This window comes from Homo sapiens, chromosome 5 (assembly GCF_000001405.40).
Source record: "Homo sapiens chromosome 5, GRCh38.p14 Primary Assembly".
Classification (NCBI taxonomy): Eukaryota; Metazoa; Chordata; class Mammalia; order Primates; family Hominidae; genus Homo; species Homo sapiens.
Window position 1 is genome coordinate 68,898,146 of NC_000005.10, and position 23,523 is coordinate 68,921,668.

Below are 23,523 nucleotides of genomic sequence, written 5' to 3' on the forward strand. Positions count from 1 at the left end.
CCTCAGTTTCCCCTCACTGCCTCTGATTCTGTCCCTCAGCCTCCAGCAGCAACAGCAGGGAGCTAGGGTAGAGAAAAATTGAGCATGTTCTTCTTATGAATATATTCTCCTCATGAATATATTCATGTTTTACGAATATATTCAACGAAAATATTCTTTTTATGAATATAGTCTTTATAAATACTGCCTTCTTGCACATATTCTTAAATATGAAGAGTTCATATGAATGTATTATCCTAATGAATAATAACCTAATGAAAAATATAACAATTCTCCCTATTCCAGAATATATCGTTATGAATATATTTTTATCATGGTCCTCAAGGCCCCTCTCTCTGCCTCTCTATTTCCCCTGCTTCTGTCCCTCAGGTTCTTCAGCCTGACTAATCAAAAAACTGTCAAATAGTTCTCAAAATGCTATCAGAAAATCAAAATGAAAACCAAAACTAAATAGTATAGATAACATAAATAAGCTTGGTGAATTTGTCTTCCAGTGAATTAGGCCAGGTAACAAACTAGCTTTCAGCAAATTGGCTTTCCATTAGTTGGCTTTTAGCAACCTGATCTATGGCCTTCCTGACCAGTCCCTCTAAAATAGATCTGCCATTACCCTACCCATCACCTCAACCCCACCAAAATTCTCTACCAGAGGATTTATTTCTTTCATAGTTTTATCAAAACCCAAAATAATTGTGATCCTTTATTATTTTCTATTATCCCCACTTGGAATATCCTCATGAGGGCCAGGGGCCTATTCAGTTCTGTTCCCCAGTCATTCCACAGCCCAATCACAATCTCTGGCACATAAGTAGAGGGGCTCAATAAATATTTGTTGAATAAATCAGCAATGAGTCAATGAGTGAAGGAATGCACAGGGAATCCCAAGAGAGTCCCTAGATTCATGATAAAAACAAGACAGGGAGGATCAACCATGTACTAATCCCTACCTCAGTTCTGACCAGCATTATTTCAACCACCCTCCTTATCCACTGAAAAATAAACAGAAATAGTAAGCAAAACTTTTTTAATTGGGCATGAAAGGAAGGGGAGGAAAGTGACTCAAGAGATGAGCAAGCTTTAAACCATTTTTTAATCAAACTGAACCTGTTTGACCATCTCAAATCAGAATATACTGGAAAAAATTTCTCCCCCAGATGTTACAACATTGCCATTTAGTGCAGCGCTACTTGAGAGCAGATGGCGATGAGTCAGGATTTAACAAAGACCTTAATGGCTCTTCTGCCAGCCCTGGGCCATCATTTGCATAGGAAGCAGATTTGGCTCGGCTGCTGATGGTGATCGCCTCTTACCCACTTGGATGTGACCTCATTTTCACATCTCCATTTTCCATCTCTGCCATATGCACTCAAAGCCTTCTGGGAAATACTGTGCCACAAAATATAAAATAAAAGCAAATCCTAATCATTTGAAGCACTATTTTAATTATTATTTTACTGACATGCCTCCTCATTAGAAATTCATTTTTAATCAGTCTAACGCATTTGAGTTAGTATGACATGGTTTCCCTTTCACCGATTTAATGTCGCAAGTCCAAAGTTTATAGCATTGCATCAGGGTAGTTATATGAAGGGAGCCAGTTTTAAAGACGCATATAATTTTATTGTGGATTCACACTGTTTATGAATTAGGTTTATAGGCCTCACCTCATCTCTAGACACACTTACAATCATCAGAAGGAGAGAAAGAAGACATTTCACACATGAAAGCATAACCTCTTTCCCATTTGGAAACAAATCACCCAACCCTAACAAACACAAAGGCGTTTATTTACAGTTAGACAATTTACCTGGGGGAGGGTGGATGGGAACAAGGTCTTCATTTATCTGCCATTTCAACTCACTGAGGTTCAGCCAACAATGTATTTCCTCAGGAAAGGACAGGAGACAGAGGGGCTGGAGAGTGATATTATTCATTGTACTTTCTGAGAGCGGGAGTTCAAGGGACACAGCAGGAATCTTGGAAAGTCTCGCTTGTTTTCTTTCAAGTCCCTCAGAATTCCCCAGCCCAAAGTTCCAATAACTAAGTCCCATCATTTTCTAGCTTTCAAATACCCAGTGTTCCATACCAAGCCCTTAAGCTTTAGCCTGGCTCCTCCTCTGTGTCTAGAAATCTTAAATAGTTAATTTACCAAGGATGAAGACTAACTTATAAAAAATTGAACAATGTCCCCTATTGCTGACTGCTGTCCATAAGACTATAAGATGCTGATGAATATATTCTGAAATTGTATATATTTCAATTCAATATATATTGAATATATTTTGAAATTGTAATTAAAAACCCAGGGAAGGTATATGTTTTTAATGAAATACAATATAATAATAGAACATATTAGCATGTATTACACATAATAAATTTCTGTTTCAAATATGTGTGTGGAAGTATATACGTACTGAGTCAAATGTAAAAATATTATTAGCACACTCATGTAATGTTTAATATGTGCCAGGGACTGCGCCAAGTGCATTTACATGTATTAACTCATTTAATCTTCAAGATCATCCACAAGATGGGACTATTTTTAGCCTATGTTTACAGTTGAATGAACCAGGCACTGAGAATTTAAGTAACATACCCAAGATCATCCAGCTGGCAAGTGGCAGAGACAGGATTCAGACCTAAGCAATTGGGTACTAGAGTCTATTCTCTTAACCACCGCACCAGCCTGCCTCACCTAAATGTATTTTTTGCTATGAGTCTTAGTTTTTTTAAAAAAAATAAAAAGGTTGATAAATACCAATTTAAGGGGATTAGATATAATGCATATCCTAGGTTCATTCCAATTTCAAATATTCCATGCAACTGTCCCGATACCATCAGGCCATATGAGGTACTGTTTTGCTCAGGAAATGTGGTCCCTGTGTCATATATTCTAGTGTCACTAATGATACCAGTCTTGCCACTAATCATAAACCAGAGGTCTTCTGCCTTGATCACCTGTCCCTGGGATAGTGCCAGTTCTTATGTTCAATGGTCCCAAGCCCTATGACATCAGAGTTAATTAAAAAAAAAAAACACCCAGCTGCTTATATTATGGCAAAACTATTACACCATCAGCAGTGAAAGCTGAGTTTTTGAGAGACTAGACTTTGGAGGTGGGGGTGGAGGGACTATAGAATTATGTCATAAAATAACCATTGCAAAGTTTATTTTCCTTATCCTACTTTACGAAGAACTGTGCTAACTACTAGCAGATCACATAATCCATAAGAGCATCCTTCAACTTACAGGCACAAAAGCTGACCTCTACTCTGCCACAGTTACATAACTCAGGCAAATCACTTATTAACAACTGCTTACATGAGTTAGAATTTTATGCTTTCCATAGCATGCTCACATTCATGGTTTTCAGGCCCCAACAACCACTCTCTGAGGAAGGCAGAGATGGCTTTTGGAGACAGGGGTGTCTCTATCCTCCCTCCCCATGCTTCTGCCTCCCTCTCTCTCTTCCCTCTCATCCATCGAACTCCCTTCCCAAGAAGAGAGATGGTCACGTGGGTCAGAACACAGCACAGTCACTGATGACAGCCAGCACCACATGAGGCACACTCTTTCGCACTCCTTGCTCTGCGCAGGCAGTCCATATGAAACATCCTCTTCTCTCTGGCTCATCCTCTCCATCCAGATCACCTTGGGTCCCCTGTACCAGTTCCGCGTTCCATTCTCCAGTTTCGCTGTGCTGCTTTGCTCCTAGGGTGGAGTCCACCACCTTCTTCAGAGGATTAGCCTGGAGCCACTCCACCCGGATGTACATAGAGCCATAGGTGCCCAAGAGTTGATGTTCCACCCACCACCCCTGCCTCCGAGTCGCCACCTAACCAGTGACTGAATACACAGAAGTAAAAAGCACAACGTCCACACCTCAGGGGAAAAGAACCTGAGATGTCAGTGACACTCCAGAGCTCCCCACGATATCAGGCTGAGTCTGGGAGCTCATCTGGAATACGCCCTTGCTTGGCTCTGCCCCTTCCCTAGTCTCTTCCTCCACGCCCTTGCAGGTCTCCCCTGGGGGCCCTTCCTTAATAAGTCACTTGCACCTGTATCCTAGCCCAAGAGTCTGTTTCTGGAATCCTCACCTAAACTGTCCCTCTGTTCTACGCCTAAACCTAAGAAGATGGCCTCACCAGGCTTTCTACATCTCTATGTGGCCTACTCATCATCTAACCGGGTTAAGGTAGGGAGCCCTCCGCAGAAATGGCGGCCATCTCAGAATCCAGAAGGAGAGCGTAACAGCCTCGCTTAAGTCGTCATGCCTTAGCCGGATTCTCCAACTCAGCTTCCGCCAGAGGCATGCTTTGGAGGTCAGTGTTCACTGGTCAGCTATCAATATAGCAGAGATTTCATATCCATTTAGCTACTGTTCTTAAACAGCTCCTCACCTAGAAAACTGAGGGGAGGAGTACTAAGTGGATTCAGGTATTCCTGTTTCCCTGGTCCTAAAACTAACATAATAGCAATAGAAACCTCACCTCTAACTTCCTACAACTATGTTGCCCTGGGGATCCGCTTCTGGATAGTAAAAGTCATCCCGTATAACTTAAGAGCTGGAAGAGACCTTTGAAATCTATCCTTTAGTGTACAGATAAAAGAAATGGAGCTAAAACCAGGTATTTTCCTAACATCCCCTTAACTGACAGTAAAACTCTTCACTGAATCTGAGTCTCTGGGCTTAGAGCAGAGTGGTGGGTACTGGCACCTGAATGAGGCTGCAGAGGGAGGTGAGGATAGGTCAGTTGACCATTGTCTTCCCAAATCTTACCCCCTGAAAGCATCTCTGGGTATCTGTAAATAGTCACAGCAATTGTCTGGTTTGAACTGCTTAATCTTTTGCCCATTAAGATACATAGCTTGAAACACAGAGTAACTCTCATCATCGGCCTTGAAGAAAATTTAATCCATATACTGTCATCCCTCCATATCCACAGGGGATTGGTTCCAAGACCCCTGAGGATACCAGAACCGGAGAATGCTCAAGTCTCTTACATAAAATGGCACAGAGTTTGCATATAACATATACACATCTTCCCATATACTTTAAATCATCTCTAGATTACTTATAGTGCCTACTGCAATGTAAATGATAAATAAACAGTTGTTATACTGTATTTTTTGTATTGTTTTATTGGGGCTTTTTTAAAACATTTTTAATCTTTGGTACATTGAATCCAAGGATGCAACCCCTGCAGATACAAAGAGCCAACCGTAGTCAGTTCAGTAAGGAGACTCAGACTACAGGGAATTACTCCAAATTTACCAACATATTATTATTTACATTTGACAGACAATTGAGGCTTAGAAAAGTTAAATACTGGCTGGGCGTGGTGGCTCACACCAGCACTTTGGGAGGCCGAGGCAGGCGGATCACGAGGTCAGGAGATCGAGACCATCCTGGCTAACACGGTGAAACCCCGTGTCTACTAAAAATACAAATATTAGCCGGGCATGATGGCGAGCACCTGTAGTCCCAGCTACTCGGGAGGCTAAGGCAGGAGAATGGCTTGAACCTGGGAGGCGGAGCTTGCAGTGAGCCGAGATCACACCACTGCACTCCAGCTTGGGCGACAGAGTGAGACTCCGTCTCAAAAAAAAAAAAAAAAAAGAAAAGAAAAGTTAAATACTTTGAGTATGTTTCAAAGTTATCAGATGAAAGAACTAGCATTCTACCTACCTTAGGACCTACCTAAGATCAAAGTCTAATGTTTTCCCTACTTCCTGCAACCTCCTTATGTAGTCATGTGCTGCCTGTATAATACTGTGGCCCTCTTAGATCCTCCAGAGGGCAACACAGAGACTATATCATTCTCTCTGACTTATGGTCAAAGTCTGGATTGAGAAGAGGGGCCATGAAACCCCAAACGTGACCTAAGGAGGTAACTAGGTCACGTTTGGGGTTTCATGCTCAGAGGATTCTGAAATCCTGAAACACCATCTTCCTAAATGCTCCTAAAGGAATGAACATGCCTTAAAGCCTTGGGCTCCCACAGTGGGACACGTTTCAGGTGGCTTTTATGTTGGCTTGAAATGGGACACTTGGAGGATCCAAACAGCTAAAGGGAAAAAGGGGTGTGGGCTAATAGTCCTGCTGTTGATTGAGGGCCAGGATCTGTTAAGGTCCATGGGTCCCAGGGTTCCTAGTTAGTCTTTCAGTTTTTGCTTATAAACTTCTCTCTATACAGCCTCTATGAGGCTGTGTTAGGGAAAAATTTGAGACAGCTTCTTCTCTGGACAATATTCATTCTCTCATTGCACACCAACTCTGCAGTAGGCCCTCTTCTAGCCATCGGGCCTAGAGTAGAAATAAAAAAGAAGTCCCTGATGTGAAACCTCCTTTCTGGTCAATGAGAGAAAAGATGATAAATAAGCAAACAAAGCAATAAGTAAGATCATTTTAGATAATAAATGCCACAGAGAAAAATGTTAAAGCATGAAGGAGTATCTTTTTATAAGAGATATGAGGTAGGGAGAGCATCAGTTCAGATAAGATGATCTGAGAAGGTCTCTCTGAGGAGGGAACTTTGATTAGAGGCACAAATCACCATCCCCTTTGGAGATCTAAGATTGGTTATCATGCCCGGTTGCTCCTGTCTTCCTAAAGAATCCCTTCCCCAAAGAATCCTTAATTTATAACAATCTTTTGGCAAGCCTGCCATACCAATTCAACACATAAGCCCAGACCTGTTCAGATTCCTCTTAGACAAAAGCTGGCATCTCTTTTACAGCAGCAATCACGTCAATATTATAACTACTACCATTACTGCAGGGCCCCTGCAGGACATCTGCTTCCCAACTACAACAAAGAAAGAAAAGGAATAAACCAGGAACAGCACATGGATGTGGGCTTCCTAAGGCAAAATAAATAGTAATAAAAGCAGGTTTGGTCAAATAACTCAAGGTCAGCAAGAAGATATACACTATTTTTACATGAGAACCAAGAACTATGCTTAGCAAATGATTCTTTAAGGAGATCCAGTGAGAAAATTCTCACAGTGTAAAATCTGGGTGTTTTTTTTTTTTTATCCGGAGGAAATATTTTTAAAAAGCAGAAAAGGGAAATGAAAAAGGTAAGCTGCCCCTGAAGTCAAGACCACCTATCATCCTTCCTCTTCTGCTCTCTCCCCAAGTCTTAGAGCTTCTACTCTCTCTACCCAGCAAAAGGAGGGCTTGGGAGAGACTAGCTATGACTCACGCCCTGTGATAAGAGAATGAGGATGTTTGAGGCATGCGAGGAGTGGGGACAAAGAGAGATGGAGACTTCTGGAGACAAAAGAGAGAAGAGGGTCTGGCTGAACACTCTATCCTAAGAGAGTACCCTTATGGGAGCATCCCAATTGTCTGGTCAGGGAGGCCCTCCTTGTTTGTAGAGCACAAACATAATTTAACCAAAATAAAGCTGCAACCCCTCACATTTTGTTCTCATCCCTACGATGCCTTTTCTTTATACTCTGGATACTCTATTATCATGAACTTGGAGTAAGGAACTGAAAGAAATTTCTTTAGGGTTTTGCGTGTTTGTGTTAGCTCACCAGGGAGAGGGATGTAGCCCACACCCCATGATTCCCCAGAGCCCCAATCCCAGAAGCACCTGGAACATCTTCAGTGTCAAAGGGAGCCATTCACAGCCATCACCTGACCAGGATAAAGGTGATTTTCGTGATCCACTTCTTCTTGCCACCCAGAAAAGTCCCACAGATTACCACCCCTTCCCACTCCACTCCACCTCACCCACTCCCACTCCCATTCCAGCCCAGAATAGACCCGTGACAGGTAACGTCATCTTTATCATTCTAATCTTTGGCATCATCCTTTCTTTTTCCTGTTTCTTTTCCCATTTTACAGATTAACAGTGATTAGGGCATTTTCTCAAGTTCACAGTGCCAGCAGACAGTTGAACTGAAACACAAACACCAATCATTCATTAATTCTTTTTCCAACTTCCTTATGATGACTATTTATATCAGATTTAAATCCATTAGCATAATAGAGTCTCTTTATGTGGTTATGGTGAACTGAGCAGCAGTCTTGAGCAATTATTCTGCTACTTTATCTACTATAATTCTGTAATACAATTTGTAGTATTTTTTATTTTGGTAATATATGCCATCAGAAAATTTACCATTTTAACTATTTTGAAGTATAAAGTTCAGTGGCATTAAGTATATTCACATTGTGGCTGGGCGTGGTGGCTCATGCCTATAATCCCAGCACTTTGGGAGGCCAAGGTAGGCAAATCACTTGAGGCCAGTTCGAGACCAGCCTCCCCAACATGGCGAAATCCCATCTCTACTAAAAATACAAAAAAAAAAAAAAAAGTATATTCACATTGTTGTGAAATCACTATCACCATCAGTCTCTAGAATTGTTTCATCTTCCCATTCTTCCCAAACTGAAACTCTGTACCCATTAAACAATAACTCCTCATTTCCCAATTCCCCAACCCCTGTTCCATTCTACTCTCTGTCTCTGTGTATTTGATTATTCTAGGTACCTCATATAAGTGGACTTATATAACATATGCCCTTTTGTGTCTGGCTTATTGCAACTTAGCATGAGGTCTTCAAGGTTCACTCATATTGTAGCATGTGTCAGAATGTCCTTCCTTTTTAAGGCTGAATAATATTCCATTGCATGTATACACCACATTTTGTTTACTCATTAATCTGTTGATGGACATGAGTTGTTTCTACCTTTCAGCTGTTGTGATAATGTTGCTATGAACCTGGTTGTACAAACATTTGTTCAAGTCTTTGCTTTCAGTTCTTTTGTGTATATACCCAGAAGTGTCATTGCTGGGTCAAATGGTAAATCTATGTTTAATTTTTTAAGAGAGGAAGAAAATATCTGGAAAAATATTCTTCTGTTTGAGCACTACACTATTTTTAGTCATGCTGGCCCTCAATTTTCCACTGTAAAAAATGGGAGGGACAATATTTACTTTCTATTGTAAATTTAGAAAAAATAATATATGTAAAGCAAAAAAAAAAAAATTCCTTTTTTAGGAATTGCCATACTGTTTTCTAGAGCTGCCGCACCATTTGACATTTCCACCAGCAATGCACAAGGGTTCTAATTCCTCCACATTCTCACTGACACTTGTTTTCTGTTTTTTGATAATAACCATTATACTGGGTGTGAAGTTGTATAATACATTTTAACCCAGTTAAAATACAGCTGCTCTCTCATTATAATTCTTTTTTAAAAAATGTTTTGGCCATTCTCTATTTTTTTCTCCAAGAACAATTTTGCTATTATGTGTAAGTCCCCAAAATATCTTACACAAATAATAATTAGAATTCTATTAAACATGTTTTTAAAAGTATGAACAGAATTCATACCTTTAAAACTTTTAACCCCAGTCTCACCAAAGAACATAAGGTCTTCTCTCATTTCCCTTGGTAAAGTTTACAATTTTTTTCATATTGGACCTAAACATTTCTTGTTAAGATTATCCCAAAGTATTTCATATTTTTGTGCTATTGCAAATGGAATAATCAGTCTCATTTTAGAAAATAATTTTTGGAGGAAGAAGCCCCATAATCAACAATAACACTCGCTTATGAAACATCTGCTACTTTAAGGTCAGTGATAAAGGTCAACAATGCCTGTCTTCTACGTGGAAATTTACTGTAAGAGAAAAAGAAAACATAGGTTAAAACTTCATTGGATTACCTCTGTTAAAAGCCCAGGGCATTTAAATTACTCCTAAGGAGGCATGCAAAATTGTAGGTAATTTAATGTTTAATCAATATTTGTTACAGCTATCATTAATTTTGGGTCAAATTCATGATGCATGCCTTTTCTTGTCTCCTACATGGACCTTACATTACACTGGCCTCTCCTTGTGGAGTTATACTCATTTTATTACTTTATTAATTTATCATCTATTACAGAATTCTACACCTATCATCTCTCCCTTATAATATATTGATATAGCTGTGATTTTCTGTTTTTATTATTGTTATAATTTAAGTTTTAGGGTACATGTGCACAACGTGCAGATTTGTTGTATATGTATACATGTAACAAACATGTTGGTGTGATGCACCCATTAACTCATCATTTAACATTAGGTATATCTCCTAATGCTATCCCTCCCCCCTCCCCCCACCCCACAACAGGCCCCGGTGTATGATGTTCCCCTTCCTGTGTCCATGTGTTCTCATTGTTCAATTCCCACCTATGAGTGAGAACATGCGGTGTTTGGTTTTTTGTCCTTGCGATAGTTTGCTGAGAATGATGGTTTCCAGCTTCATCCATGTCCCTACAAAAGACATGAACTCATCATTTTTTATGGCTGCATAGTATTCCATGGTATATGTGCCACATTTTCTTAATCCAGTCTATCATTGTTGGACATTTGGGTTGGTTCCAAGTCTTCACTATTGTGAACAGTGCCACAGTAAACATACGTGTGCATGTGTCTTTATAGCAGCATGATTTATAATCCTTTGGGTATATACCCAGTAATGGGATGGCTGGGTCAAATGGTATTTCTAGTTCTAGATCCCTGAGGAATCGCCACACTGACTTCCACAATGGTTGAACTAGTTTACAGTCCCACCAACAGTGTAAAAGTGTTCCTATTTCTCCACATCCTCTCCAGCACCTGTTGTTTCCTGACTCTTTAATGATCGCCATTCTAACTGGTGTGAGATGGTATCTCATTGTGGTTTTGATTTGCATTTATCAGATGGCCAGTGATGATGAGCATTTTTTCATGTGTCTTTTGGCTGCATAAATGTCTTCTTTTGAGAAGTGTCTGTTCATATCCTTTGCCCACTTTTTGATGGGGTTGTTTGTTTTTTTCTTGTAAATTTGTTTGAGTTCATTGTAGATTCTGGATATTAGCCCTTTGTCAGATGAGTAGATTGCAAAAATTTTCTCCCATCCTGTAGGTTGCCTGTTCACTCTGATGGTAGTTTCTTTTGCTGTGCAGAAGCTCTTTACTTTAATTAGATCCTATTTGTCAATTTTGGCTTTTGTTGCCATTGCTTTTGGTGTTTTAGACATGAAGTCCTTGCCCATGCCTATGTCCTGAATGGTACTGCCTAGGTTTTCTTCTAGGGTTTTTATGGTTTTAGGTTTAACATTTAAGTCTTTAATCCATCATGAATTAATTTTTGTATAAGGTGTAAGGAAGGGATCCAGTTTCAGCTTTCTACATATGGCTAGCCAGTTTTCCCAGCACCATTTATTAAATAGGGAATCCTTTCCCCATTTCTTGTTTTTGTCAGTTTTGTCAAAGATCAGGTAGTTGTAGATATGTGGCATTATTTCTGAGGGCTCTCTTCTGTTCCGTTGGTCTATATCTCTGTTTTGGTACCACTACCATGCTGTTTTGGTTACTATAGCCTCGTAGTATAGTTTGAAGTCAGGTAGCGTGATGCCTCCAGCTTTGTTCTTTTAGCTTAGGATTGACTTGGCAATGCGGGCTCTTTTTTGGTTCCATATGAACTTTAAAGTAGTTTTTTCCAATTCTGTGAAGAAAGTCATTGGTAGCTTGATGGGGATGGCATTGAATCTATAAATTACCTTGGGCAGTATGGCCATTTTAACGATATTGATTCTTCCTACCCATGAGCATGGAATATTCTTCCATTTGTTTGTATCCTCTTTTATTTCATTGAGCAGTGGTTTGTAGTTCTCCTTGAAGAGGTCCTTCACATCCCTTGTAAGTTGGATTCCTAGGTATTTTATTCTCTTTGAAGCAATTGTGAATGGGAGTTCACTCATGATTTGGCTCTCTGTTTGTCTGTTATTGGTATATAAGAATGCTTGTGATTTTTGTACATCGATTTTGTAACTTTTTTTTTTAAGTAGAGATGGGGTTTCACTGTGTTAGCCAGGATGGTCTCGATCTCCTGACCTCATGATCCACCCACCTCGGCCTCCCAAAGTGCTGGGATTACAGGCGTGAACCACCACGCCCGGCAATATAGCTGTGATTTTCTTACTGACAACTCTTCAGTCAGAAAAACAATCTTTTATTTTACTACATCTCCTAGGAACAAATGTGAGTCACTTTACAATTTACGTAAGACACTCTACTTTACTATATAGTTATTTTTGCTCATTACATAGAAAAGCTTCTATTGGCAAAATTCCTCTCTTGGCAAGGGAAAAAAATCGTCAACTCTGCTCTAGGTATTGACTGCAGTGTGGGTATATACTAATACCCATCAAAAATATAGAGTTTATGACTTTGCATATCCATATCCTCAGGAAATGTATGAAAATTTTCCTGTCCCTTTCTAAAAACAGCCTAAGAATGTTAAAAAAGAACAAAGTTACCACCTAATACATCTTCCTCCCTGACATTTTTCCCCTTCACATGGGGATAATTTTGTCAATAGAAGCAAAAGCAGCAAATGGCCCACAACATTTTGAATCCTGATGAGGTTGCACACCAACCCTATTTGCCCCCATCCTCCCCTGACCACCACCACTGAAGGGCCCACGAAAAGCACATTCATTGTGGCTCCTCTGTTTTTTAAGATTCATGCTTTGGCCTACAAGAGCAACAAAGGGTATTTTTGTATTATCCTACCAGAAACAAAAAAGGAAACAGACGCCCATCTAGGTGAACAGTGGGCCTCAGTCAACTCATTATACACCTTTTGGCTCATGCCACCTATTTTAATATACTTGTTCTCCTCCCCCAGCAGTAACTCCACTTACTTTCCAAGCCTTCATTTATGCACACAAATAGGCCAGGTAACAATAACATAAACTCCTCAAAGTTGGACAGAAAAATGTCATAACCACTGTGGGCAATTCACAGCATTTTTCCATGCTGCTACTGGGTCTCTTCTGACTGTTAAAACCTCTGTCCTCAGAAGAAGATCATTGTATGTGGGACATACATTCCAATTTGGGGCCTGGTATATGATATATTTTATCAGATGTGATAGTACTATTATTTACTGCTCTAAGGAAACAGATAGTATTACTTATTACTGATTAGGTAAATGAAAAAAATATCCAAGTCAAGCATTAACTTGTTTTTATTGCTCAATTAGTTCTAAAAATTACTACCAAAATTCTATCTATTGGGATTAGAAGGGTAATCTCAAACTAATGACAACTCAGTGGAATAAACCAGGGAAGAAAGTCATATGAAAGATGCAAACCCATCTTCTCAATTTCCAACAATTCTAGTGAACAGAAAAATCTTGTCTCTCCTAAATTATGTTTCCATGCTCTGTTCTTGCTACCCAAATCCAATCAGACAGTATTCTCATGAAAATGATCTTGGCTCTACGTAATTTGATTTGTCTAAGAGCATAAACTAAATAGTAAAAAGAATCTTAACTTGGAAAAAAAAGAATTATTGTTGTATAAAGACAAGCAAACAGTATAAATCTAGCTTAAGGCTCGGAATCACCCACGAGCTTTAGCCATTTTAAGTCAACATCTCTCTAATAGACATTTTATACAGCCAAGGCCTCTGTGCAAGTATCCTGCACCATCTCTGTGCCAATATGGATAAGCTAAGCTCTGCTGTGCTAACAAATAATCCTAAAATCTTGACAATAATATCTGCTAATTTCTTGCTCACATGATATGTCCACCATGAGAAGTTGCAGTGCTGCCCACACTGTCTGCACTCTGGGAAAACTGAGTATCACAAAGCAGGAACTGACTTTTAGAGCTTCTGCCCCACATTTCATTGGCCCGAGCAAGTGACATACCACCGCCTGAGTTCAAGAGGGCAAGGATATGTAGCTGTCCTCCTACAGCCCCTTAGCTGGTCTCTTTACCTCTAGTCTACATCCTGTCAAAGGCATCCCCCATCCCCTGCCCCCACTGCTCCCTGGGGTCCCTCTTCAAATGGGACCATATTCCTCCTCTGCCCAGAAATCTCCACAGCTGGACTTCTGTCGGTATGCGTATCACCACTGGAATGTATGGCAATGTGCCAGGAGAGTTCCAGAATAAACATGGTGACTTTCCCAGAATGCTGGTTTTACTTGAAGACATGGAAATATATATACTTGTTTAATAACATAAACTTGAATATATTATTAGATAAAATAAAAATGTCTTTCTCTAAAGAAAGTTGGTGTTTGAATTAGGTCTCATTAGCTACCCCACATCTACTGATGCCATGGGTGCAGGCTCATCTACTCTCAAGGGTACTTTAGTGGAAGAGGTTGAGAAGTCCTGGGCCCTACCTTATCTGGCAGCACCCTCCTTCTAGAGCAGTACTGTCCAATACAGTAACCAATAACCACATGTGGCTACTGAGCATGTGAACTGTGGCTAGGGTGACTGAGAGACTGAATGTTTAGTTTTATTTATTTTAATTGGTTTAAATTTAAATAGCCACATGTGGCTAGTGTCTACTATATTAGACAGCACAGATATAGAATGTTTCTATCTGTGGTAGGCAGCATAACAGCCTTCCAAAGACGTCCATGTCCTAATCCCCAGAACATGTGAATATGTGGTTGCATGGCAGGAGGAATTAAGGTAGTGGACAGCATTAAGATTGCTAATCAAGTGACCTGAAAATAGATTATCCTGGGCTACCAGCCTGGGCCCAGTGTAATCACAAAAATCCTTAAATGTGAGGGAGGGAAGCAAAAGAGTCAGCATCAGAGTGACAGTGTGAGGAAGACTCGGCCAGCATTGCTAGCTTTGAAACTGGAAGAAAAGGGTGCAGGCCAAGGAACTCAGGCAGCCTCCTGGAACTTGAAAAAGCAGGAAAATTGATTTTCCATGAGAATTTCCAGAAAGAAACATATCCCTGGTGGCACCTTGATTCTAGCCCAGTGCAGTGAGACACATTTTGGACTTCTGACCTCCAGAATTGTGAGATAATAAATTTGTGTTATTGTAAGTCACTAATTTTGTGGTAATTTGTTACAGCCTCAAGAGAAAGCAAATACACCACTGTTGCAGAAACTTCTAATGGGCAGTGCTGGTCTAGAATCATTTCTCAACATTCTCAATGCAGTTAGTTACATGCAGCAACTCTAAATTATCTGTTGTTCTCCACACACACTGTGCAATCTCACGCTGTTCTGTCTGCCTCGAACTCCTTTCCCCAACCCCTCTCCACGGATAACTCCTGTTCATCGTTTGGGATTTAACTCAGGTGTCAGCTCTTTAAGGAACTCTTTCACTACACCCTGGCCTAGGTCAGGTGTGCCTTTTCTGTACTCTTGAAATCTATGCATAGCTCTGTAATATGTGTGAATTTCAACCAAAATCAAGTATACAAAAACATCACTATCTTCATTTTACCTGCATGAAATGAAACCTAACTCTGAGCATGCCCCCTAACGGGCTGGCAGAAGCCTGAGCCTTCATTCTGGCCAGGAATTGCCCTCCACAGTGTTAGCAAACCGTCAAGAGACCCCTCTCATTATTTTCACTCTGCCCATATGGGTGGGTGACTGGTAAGATGCTGTTGTCCCGGTCCTCATGGCCCCTCTTCCAAGCCATGTTTAGGGTCCTGAAATCTGCAGCCAGACTGGATGGACATCCTGGTGCCTCAAGCCCAAGGCCCAGGAACCCCCAGGTGCACCACTCAGCCCAGCCTCTTAGACGCCTGTGCTCCACAGGGAGCTGCCTCCAAGCCAAGTTCTGCTACCTGCTGTTCCAGGACCCACCCACCCACCTCCTCCCATTCTCAGTGTCTTCTAAGACTTCTCTATCTGACCTCTCCTTCCCAGGACTCCTTATTCAGAGTTTCATGAAAAATAGGACCCTCCCTGAGACAAAGGGACATAAAAAGGGTTCAGCTTTCTGTTTGAAAGAGTGGGGGAACAGAGAGAGAAAACACCATTTAAATCTCAGTTAAGTATCTTGCCCCATCTTCATTATAAATAGCATTCAAAGCATTGAATTGAAAATGTATCCACGCAGGAATCACAGCAACATTAACACCAAGGTCAGCACCAACACAGCAACCACCTTGCTTGAGGACTCACTACATTATCTTATTTCATGCAGCATCAGTTTCATGAGGCAAGTATTATTATCCCCATTATATAGATGAGAAAACTGAGATGCTGAGTTTTAGTGATTTTGCTCAAAGTCACACAGTTATAAAGTGACAGTACAGGGCTTCAAATCCAGATCAAAAACCCAGTACTGCCTCGCACCTGCATCTACAGCAAGCAGGGCAGGTGCTCGGTCGATTGAACTGGGCCACTTGGACCCACATCTACAGCCTTCGGGTCTTCTCCTGTTGTTCTTCTCTGAGTCCAAGTCCAGAAACAACACCCTTCCCTTATTTGCCTTAATATAACAAAGATAAGCAGTTGGGTTCAAGCAGCATTTCTTAAAAAAAAAAAAAACAAGATACTGGGGAAAATAAGAAATTGCAAATAGGATCAGACAAAGACATAAAGGACTCTAATCTCGAGAATCTCAGTAAAAGCTTGAGACCGCTTTACGGAACCCCCATTCTCCTGCCAGTAACTGCTCTCGAACCACAGACAACTTAGTGCAATGTGCACCGTATTATTTAGGGTACTTCTCTCTGACTTCCCTGCCCCATGTCAAAATTGCAGCTATTTTTATTTCTCAATATGTGAGAGCTATCTATGGAAGTACTCCATCTAAGGACACCGTCTTCTCAATTACAATCAGAGGAGCAAACCCGATTTGAGTTTCTCCCTTGGGATACAGGGCACCCCAAGGAATCATCCTACACAGGCTGGTCAGTTATCACCTCCACCCCCCCACTCCCTGGCTCTGTGACTCATCCCTCAGGGCCGCACCCTTCCCCCTTCCCCACATGGTCCATCCCTCAGGAAAGTGGTCTTTTATAATTAGAGTTTTAATATTTAAAATTAGCTTATGCATACGGTGACCATAACACAAATAGACTGCAACAGGTTATTCTCTTACAAGGGCTTTCCTGAGTATTTATCCAAATCTTCCTAATATAACAGCCTGTTCTAACAAGGGTGGACCAAATATCTTTTAACCCCTTAAGACCTAGAAGTGTGCCTGGTACAAAGGCAAACACTCACTCTTACCCATTATCTACAGAGATCCCCATCGGGCATTACTTCAGATGAAATTTTTCAAATAAAATCTTTAGCAAAATATCATTAGGCACTATTCTTATTTTTGCATATAAAAATATGCTTATTTAGCTTTTTCTTGCATTCCAAATTGACTAATTTTCCTCCATAATAAAAAAAATCAGACTATTAGATCATACAGATCAGAAATTACTGGGTTATAAAAGAATATAATTTTTAAAAGAGCTAATAATATGCACTAACCCTTAATGTCAAAGCCAAAGATTGAGATTCCATATGAATGCATGAATCCATTAAGCAGAAGTCATTTTCAATTATCAAGAAGAAGAGATCTGTATTCTTTGCAGAAATTAGAAATGGCAGAAAATAACATAAACATTCATAACTGCTACAATTAGGACCAATAAAATTTTTAAATCAAATTAAAATCAGAGTGATGATAATAAGAGTAATGAAATTTATGTACCACCATGTTGCCCTATTTCCTCAGAGAAACCCCCAAGTCTATTATTTTGCAGGGATGAAAGGAATCAGTAGTCACTGCTTGCTTTTTCCAGGAGACTGGACTAAGGATTCACCTGCTCCAATAGGGAAATGTACCAAATGTCATCACACGGCTGTGGCTGATGCCTCTCCAGCACCCCATGACACCCAGCCCCCTCGGCTTCACTTGAGTTATGCAGTTCTACCAGGAGCCAGGGCAGGTTTTTTGTTTTTTTTTTTTTTTTGGCATATGTTTAAGGGGTACAAGTGGAGGGAGTTTTGAGGTTGTTTTGAAACAGAGTTTTGCTCTACTGCTCAGGCTGGAGTGCAGTGGTGCCATCTCAGCTCACTGCAACCTCCATCTCCTAGGTTCAAGCAATTCTCCTGCCTCAGCCTCCCAAGTGGCTGGGATTACAAGCATGTGCCACCATGCCTGGCTACTTTTTTGTATTTTCGGTAGAGATGGAGGTTTATCATGTTGGCCAGGCTGGTCTCGAACTCCTGACCTCAAGTGATCTGCCTGCCTCGGCCTCCCAAAGTGCTGGGATGACAGGCACGAGCCACCACACCCAGCCAGAGTTGTTTTTACATAGAGATATTGCACGATGGTGAAGTCTGAGTGTTTAGTGTTGCCATCACCTAAATAATGCATATTGTACTCATGAATTTCTCATCTCTCACCTCCTCCCACCCTTCCAAGTCTCCAATGTCTATTATCCCATACTCTATGTCCATATCTATATATTATTTAGCTCCCACTTATAAGTGGGAACATGTGGTATTTTACTGTGTTTCTGTGTTGTTTCATGTAAGTTAATGGCCCTCAGTTCCAGCCACATTGCTGCAAAATACATGATTTCATTTTTTATGGCTGAATAGTATTCCATTGTATATATAGATACATTTTCTCTATTTAATCATCCACTGATAAACACTTAGGTTGATTCCATATCTTTGCTATTGTAAATAGTGCTGTGATAAACATATAAGTATCTTTTGATATGATTTCTTTTCCTTTGGGTAGATACCCAGAAGTGGGATTGCTGGATCAAATGGTAGTTGTATTTTTAGTTCTTTGAGAAATCACCATACTTTTTCTGATAGAGGTTATACTAGTTTACAGTATAAGGATTCTCTTTTCTCCATCCTGCTAACATCTGTTATTTTTTTACTTTTTAATAATAGCCATTCATATTGGCATAAGATGATATTTCATTATGGTTGTAATTTGCATGGCTCTGATGATTAGTGACGTTGAGCATTTTTTCATATGCTTGTTGGTCATTTGTGTGTCTTCTTTTAAAAAATGTTTTTTCATTTCCTTTGAAGCCAGGGCAGACTGAGCCTAGGAAATGCCTGATCCTATGGTTCCACATATCCCCTGCATTCATTTGGCACTTGTGGATCCCTATCCTGGGTAACCTGACACATAAGGGAACGAGAATCAGAAGGGGCTTTAGAACTGAGAAGTCAGGCTGGGTGCAGTGGCTCACACCTATAATCCCAGCACTTTGGGAGGCCAAGGTGGGAGGATTGCTTGAGCTCGGGAGTTTGAGACCAGACTGGGCAACATGGAGAAACCCCGTCTACAAAAAATGTGAAAATTAGCCAGGCATGGTGGCACACACCTGCATTCCCAGCTACTCAGGAGGCTGAGGTGGGAGGATCGCTTGAGCCTGGGAAGCAGAGGTTGCACTGAACCAAGATTGTGCCACGGCACTCCAGATTGGGTCACAGAGTGAGACGCTGGCTCAAAGAAAAAGAACCGAGAAGTCAGATTTGTATAATTTAGCACACCCATGGTGGCTATATTTGTTTTTAAGGACTTATCTTGAAGATCCCACCCTATCAACATAATGCACATTTTTCATAATCCAGAATCAATAATAGGTATTAACATATTTAAGCCCATAAATCACCTTGAGAGTCTGATAGATGTCTCAAACCCTCTCACCAAAGAAAGTATACAAAAAGTATACAAAATACAAAAAAAAGCTATAAATATTTGTTTTTAAGGACTTATCCTGAAGATCCCACCCTATCAATATAGTGTACATTTTTCATAATCCTAAAATCCAGAATCAATGACAGGTATTAACCTATTTAGCCCACAAATCACCTTGAGAATCTGATAGAAGTCTCAAACCCTCTCACCAAAAAAAAAGTATACAAAATTCATTCAAATTTTTTCATTCAATTTCAGGAGGTTCACAAGCCTACTAAAGCCCAGCCAGACCCTCAGGGGACCTATGAATTAATCCCAAGCTAAGAAACCTGCTTTAGGGTCTTTTTGCATTTCCTTGAAATACTCAGGATTAAAATTAACTGGCTTAATTTGAAGTAAGAAATTAAAGTCCTAAACTAATAAAGTTGATGCTTATTAATGTTATTATGTATTTGGGGCCATGTCAAGACAGCCAGATATCTGGTCCCTAGTCTGGGATCACTGTTTGGATAAATAGGAGCTTGAAGAGAAACAAAATAGCTCTATGGAATTGTCACTGGACTGGGCATTTAAGTTTTATTCTAATGAAGTAGGATGCACTGTCCTGATGCCTTTTCCTGACACTAGTCTTAAGCAAACCTCACAGAGAGGAGAAGATACATATATAGAGAACATGTGCTCTAAGATGTCCTCTTACTCAAGAATCAGGAGCGTGATACGACATTCTGACAGGTTCTTCTTGCCTGCTGCCCAGGACAGCCAATGCACTGAGAACAGCACGTTTTGCAGCAAAGAGGAGTTCCATAATCACAAGGCCAGCCAAGCAGAAGGATGAGAGATAATTCTCAAATCCACCTCCCTGACAGCTCAGAGTCTAGGGTTTTGAAGGATAATTTTGTGGGCAGAAGGCTATAGAATGGGTGCTGCTGATTGGTTAGAGATGAAATCATAGGAATGTCCCAAATGTCTTCGTGTGCTGAGTCAATTTCTGGGGGGCAGGGGGTGGTGGGGTCACAAGACCAGGTGAGTCATGGGTCCAGGTGGAGTCAGTCAGTTGCCAGAATGCAAAAGCCTGGAAAATATTTCAAAGACCAACCTTAGGTATATTATCTATAGGAACAATTAGGAAAGTTTCAAATCTTGTGATCTCTGGCTATGTGACTCTTGACAGTAAACAATTTTAGAAAAGCAATCTAGGGAACAATACTGGTTATTGTTTACACCTATATCTCAGCAGAATTCAGGCCCCTCCCATAATGCTAATCTTATTGCCTTTCATTAGTATCACAAAAGCAATTTTGGTCCCCAAGCAAGGAGGGAGTTAGTTTTGCGAGGAAACTGTTATCATATTTGTTTTAAAGTTAACAAAGGCAGTTAGCTTGTGAGTTTAGAAACGAGAAGGGGCCAGGCGCGGGGGCTCATGCCTGTAATCCCAGCACTTTGGGAGGCTGAGGCAGGCGGATCACAAGGTCAGGAGATCGAGACCATCCTGGCTAACACAGTGAAACTCCGTCTCTACTAAAAATACAAAAAATTAGCCTGGCATGGTGGCGAGCGCCTGTAGTCCCACCTACTTGGGAGGCTGAGGCAAGAGAATGGCGTGAACCCAGAAGGTGGAGCTTGCAGTGAGCCGAGATTGCACCACTCACTGCACTCCAGCCTGGGCGACAGAGCAAGACTCCATCTCAAAAAAAAAAAAAAAAAAGAAAGAAAAGAAAAGAAACAAGATGGAATCAGTAAGGTCAGATTTCTCTGTTATAATTTTTGCAAGGCAGTTTCAATGACAAGAGTACTTTATGAAGAACTGGACACACTACAGGCTCTTAAAAAATAAACATAATAAGCCATATATAATTTGATGTTTAAAATATAAAGAAAAATGCTTTCTTATTGCACCTGAGTGTCATGGAGCCAATTCATACACAAGTTAGAGACTTCTGACCTAGAGCCTCTTTCTGAACTAAGAAATCATAGAAAACCATGAATTGATTCTCCCTTCTTTGTGGGCCTTGGTCTTACACGTATCTTTCAGCAGTCCACTTCAGTTCTCTTACTCTTGTCCTGACACGGATATAAGCTACTGACAGAAATCATCAGTGATGGGATCACACAGAGGGTAGAGTGAGAAGATATGACTGTGGTGCCCATTCTTTACAGCAATTTCTCAGCCCAGGCTAAAACTGTGAAAAGAAGAGGAAGAGAGGGTCCTCGGGAAAAGTATGTTAGCAGTGGCGAGTATCCGAGTCACCAGCAGCATATCCATACAGGTCTACAGCAACCTCAGTTCTTGCCTCCTCAGAAGAAAGAATTTGACTGAGAGGCATAAGGCAGAAAAAGAGACTGAGGCAAGTTTTAGAACAGAAGTGAAAGTTTATTAAAAAGCTTTAGAACACGAACGAAAAGAAAGTAAAGTACACTTGGAAGAGGGCCAAGCAGCCATCTTGCAGGACAAGTGCAAGGTTTGACCTCTTGACTTGGGGTTTTATATGTTGCCATTCTTCCAGGGTCTTACATCCCTCCTCTCTTGATTATTCCCTTGGGGTGAGCTGCCCACACAGCACAGTAGCCTACTAGCATTTGGGAGGTAAGCAAGCGCAGTGTGTTTACTGGAGTTGTATGCATGCCTACCTGAGGTGTTCTTCCCTTTATGGCCTCTGAAGGTCATAATATACCAGTTAAACTCCACCATTTTGCCTCTTAATGCGCATGCTTGGGCCCATTTGCCCAACTCCTGAGATCTTATTGGTAAGCTGCTGATCACCAGTTTCAGATGGTTGACAAGCAGTTTCTCAATTGCTGAAAATACTGACAATGGACAGATTAATAGGAGAAAAGGCAGACTAATTTATTGAATGTACATAAACCCAGCATGATTCCCCAACAACCCAATGGGGCACAGATGTTTATATACCCTTCTTCACAGGGGATGGGGAAGTTGGGGAATGTATGCAATTCTTTAAAGGGGTAGTAAATGATTATTAGGGAGAATGAATGGACCAGGGAGCCAAAAATTATTGGGAAACTGCCTTTCCCTGGCACTGGCTGTGACCAATTATTATTTTAGAGACAGCTTAACAACTGCCTGACCATCACCTGATGGTTTCCTGCTGAGAGGTGACAGTGTGCTGGCAGCCCTCGCTCGCTCTCGGCACCTCCTCGGCCTTGGCGCCCACTCTGGCCACACTTGAGGAGCCCTTCAGCCCACCACTGCACTATGGGAGCCCCTTTCTGGGCTGGTTGAGACCACAGCCAGCTTCCTCTGCTTGCAGGGAGGTGCGGAGGAGAGGCGCGGAAGGGAACCGGGGCTGCGCGCAGCAGACCAGCTCGAGTTCGGGGTGGGCATGGGCTCGGCGGGCCCCGCACTCAGAGCAGCCGGCCGGCACCCGCGGCCAGGGCAGTGAGGGGCTTAGCACCCGGGCCAGCAGCTGCGGAGGGTGCACCAGGTCCCCCAGCAGAGCCGGCCCGCTGGCACTGCGCTCAAATTCTCGCAGGGTCTCAGCTGCCTCCCTGTGGGGCAGGGCTCAGGAACTGCAGCCTGCCATGCCCAAGCCTCCCCCTAGCCGTGGGCTCCTGCGCGGCCTGAACCTCCCCGAGGAGCACAGCTCCCTACTCCACGGCACCTGGTCCCATCAGCCGCTCAAGGCCTGAGGAGTGCGGGTGCGCAGCGCAGGACTGGCGGGCAGCTCTGCCTGCAGCCCCCGGTGTGGGATCCACTGGGCTCCTGAGTCTAGTGGGGACTTGGAGAACCTTTATGTCTAGCTGAGGGATTGTAAATACACCAATCAGCACTCTGTGTCTAGCTCAAGGTTTGTAAACATACCAATCAGCACCCTGTGTCTAACTCAAGGTTTGTAAATGCACCAATCAGTGCTCTGTGTCTAGCTAATCTAGTGGGGACTTGGAGAACTTTTGTGTCTAACTCAGGGATTATAAAGGCACCAATCAGCACCCTGTCGAAACGGACCAATCAGCTCTCTGTAAAATGAACCAATCAGCAGGATGTGGGTGGGGCCAGATAAGGGAATAAAAGCAGGCTGCCCGAGCCAGCAGGGGCAACCCGCTCCGGTCCCTTTC

At 41.6% G+C, this 23,523-nt stretch overlaps 2 annotated features.

Annotated features, from left to right (window-relative positions):
- Positions 522-1,721: an enhancer, noted in NCBI's record as "P300/CBP strongly-dependent group 1 enhancer chr5:68194494-68195693 (GRCh37/hg19 assembly coordinates)". NCBI's record gives its function as "activates an origin of replication core promoter dependent on BRD2, BRD4, P300/CBP, MED14 and CDK7 cofactors, with strong dependence on P300/CBP, by STARR-seq in HCT116 cells {active_cell/tissue: HCT116}" and the evidence as "EXISTENCE:reporter gene assay evidence [ECO:0000049][PMID:35650434]".
- Positions 954-1,490: an enhancer, noted in NCBI's record as "OCT4-NANOG hESC enhancer chr5:68194926-68195462 (GRCh37/hg19 assembly coordinates)". NCBI's record gives its function as "activates a minimal SCP1, AML or CMV promoter by ChIP-STARR-seq in primed H9 embryonic stem cells {active_cell/tissue: H9 hESC(primed)}" and the evidence as "EXISTENCE:reporter gene assay evidence [ECO:0000049][PMID:30033119]".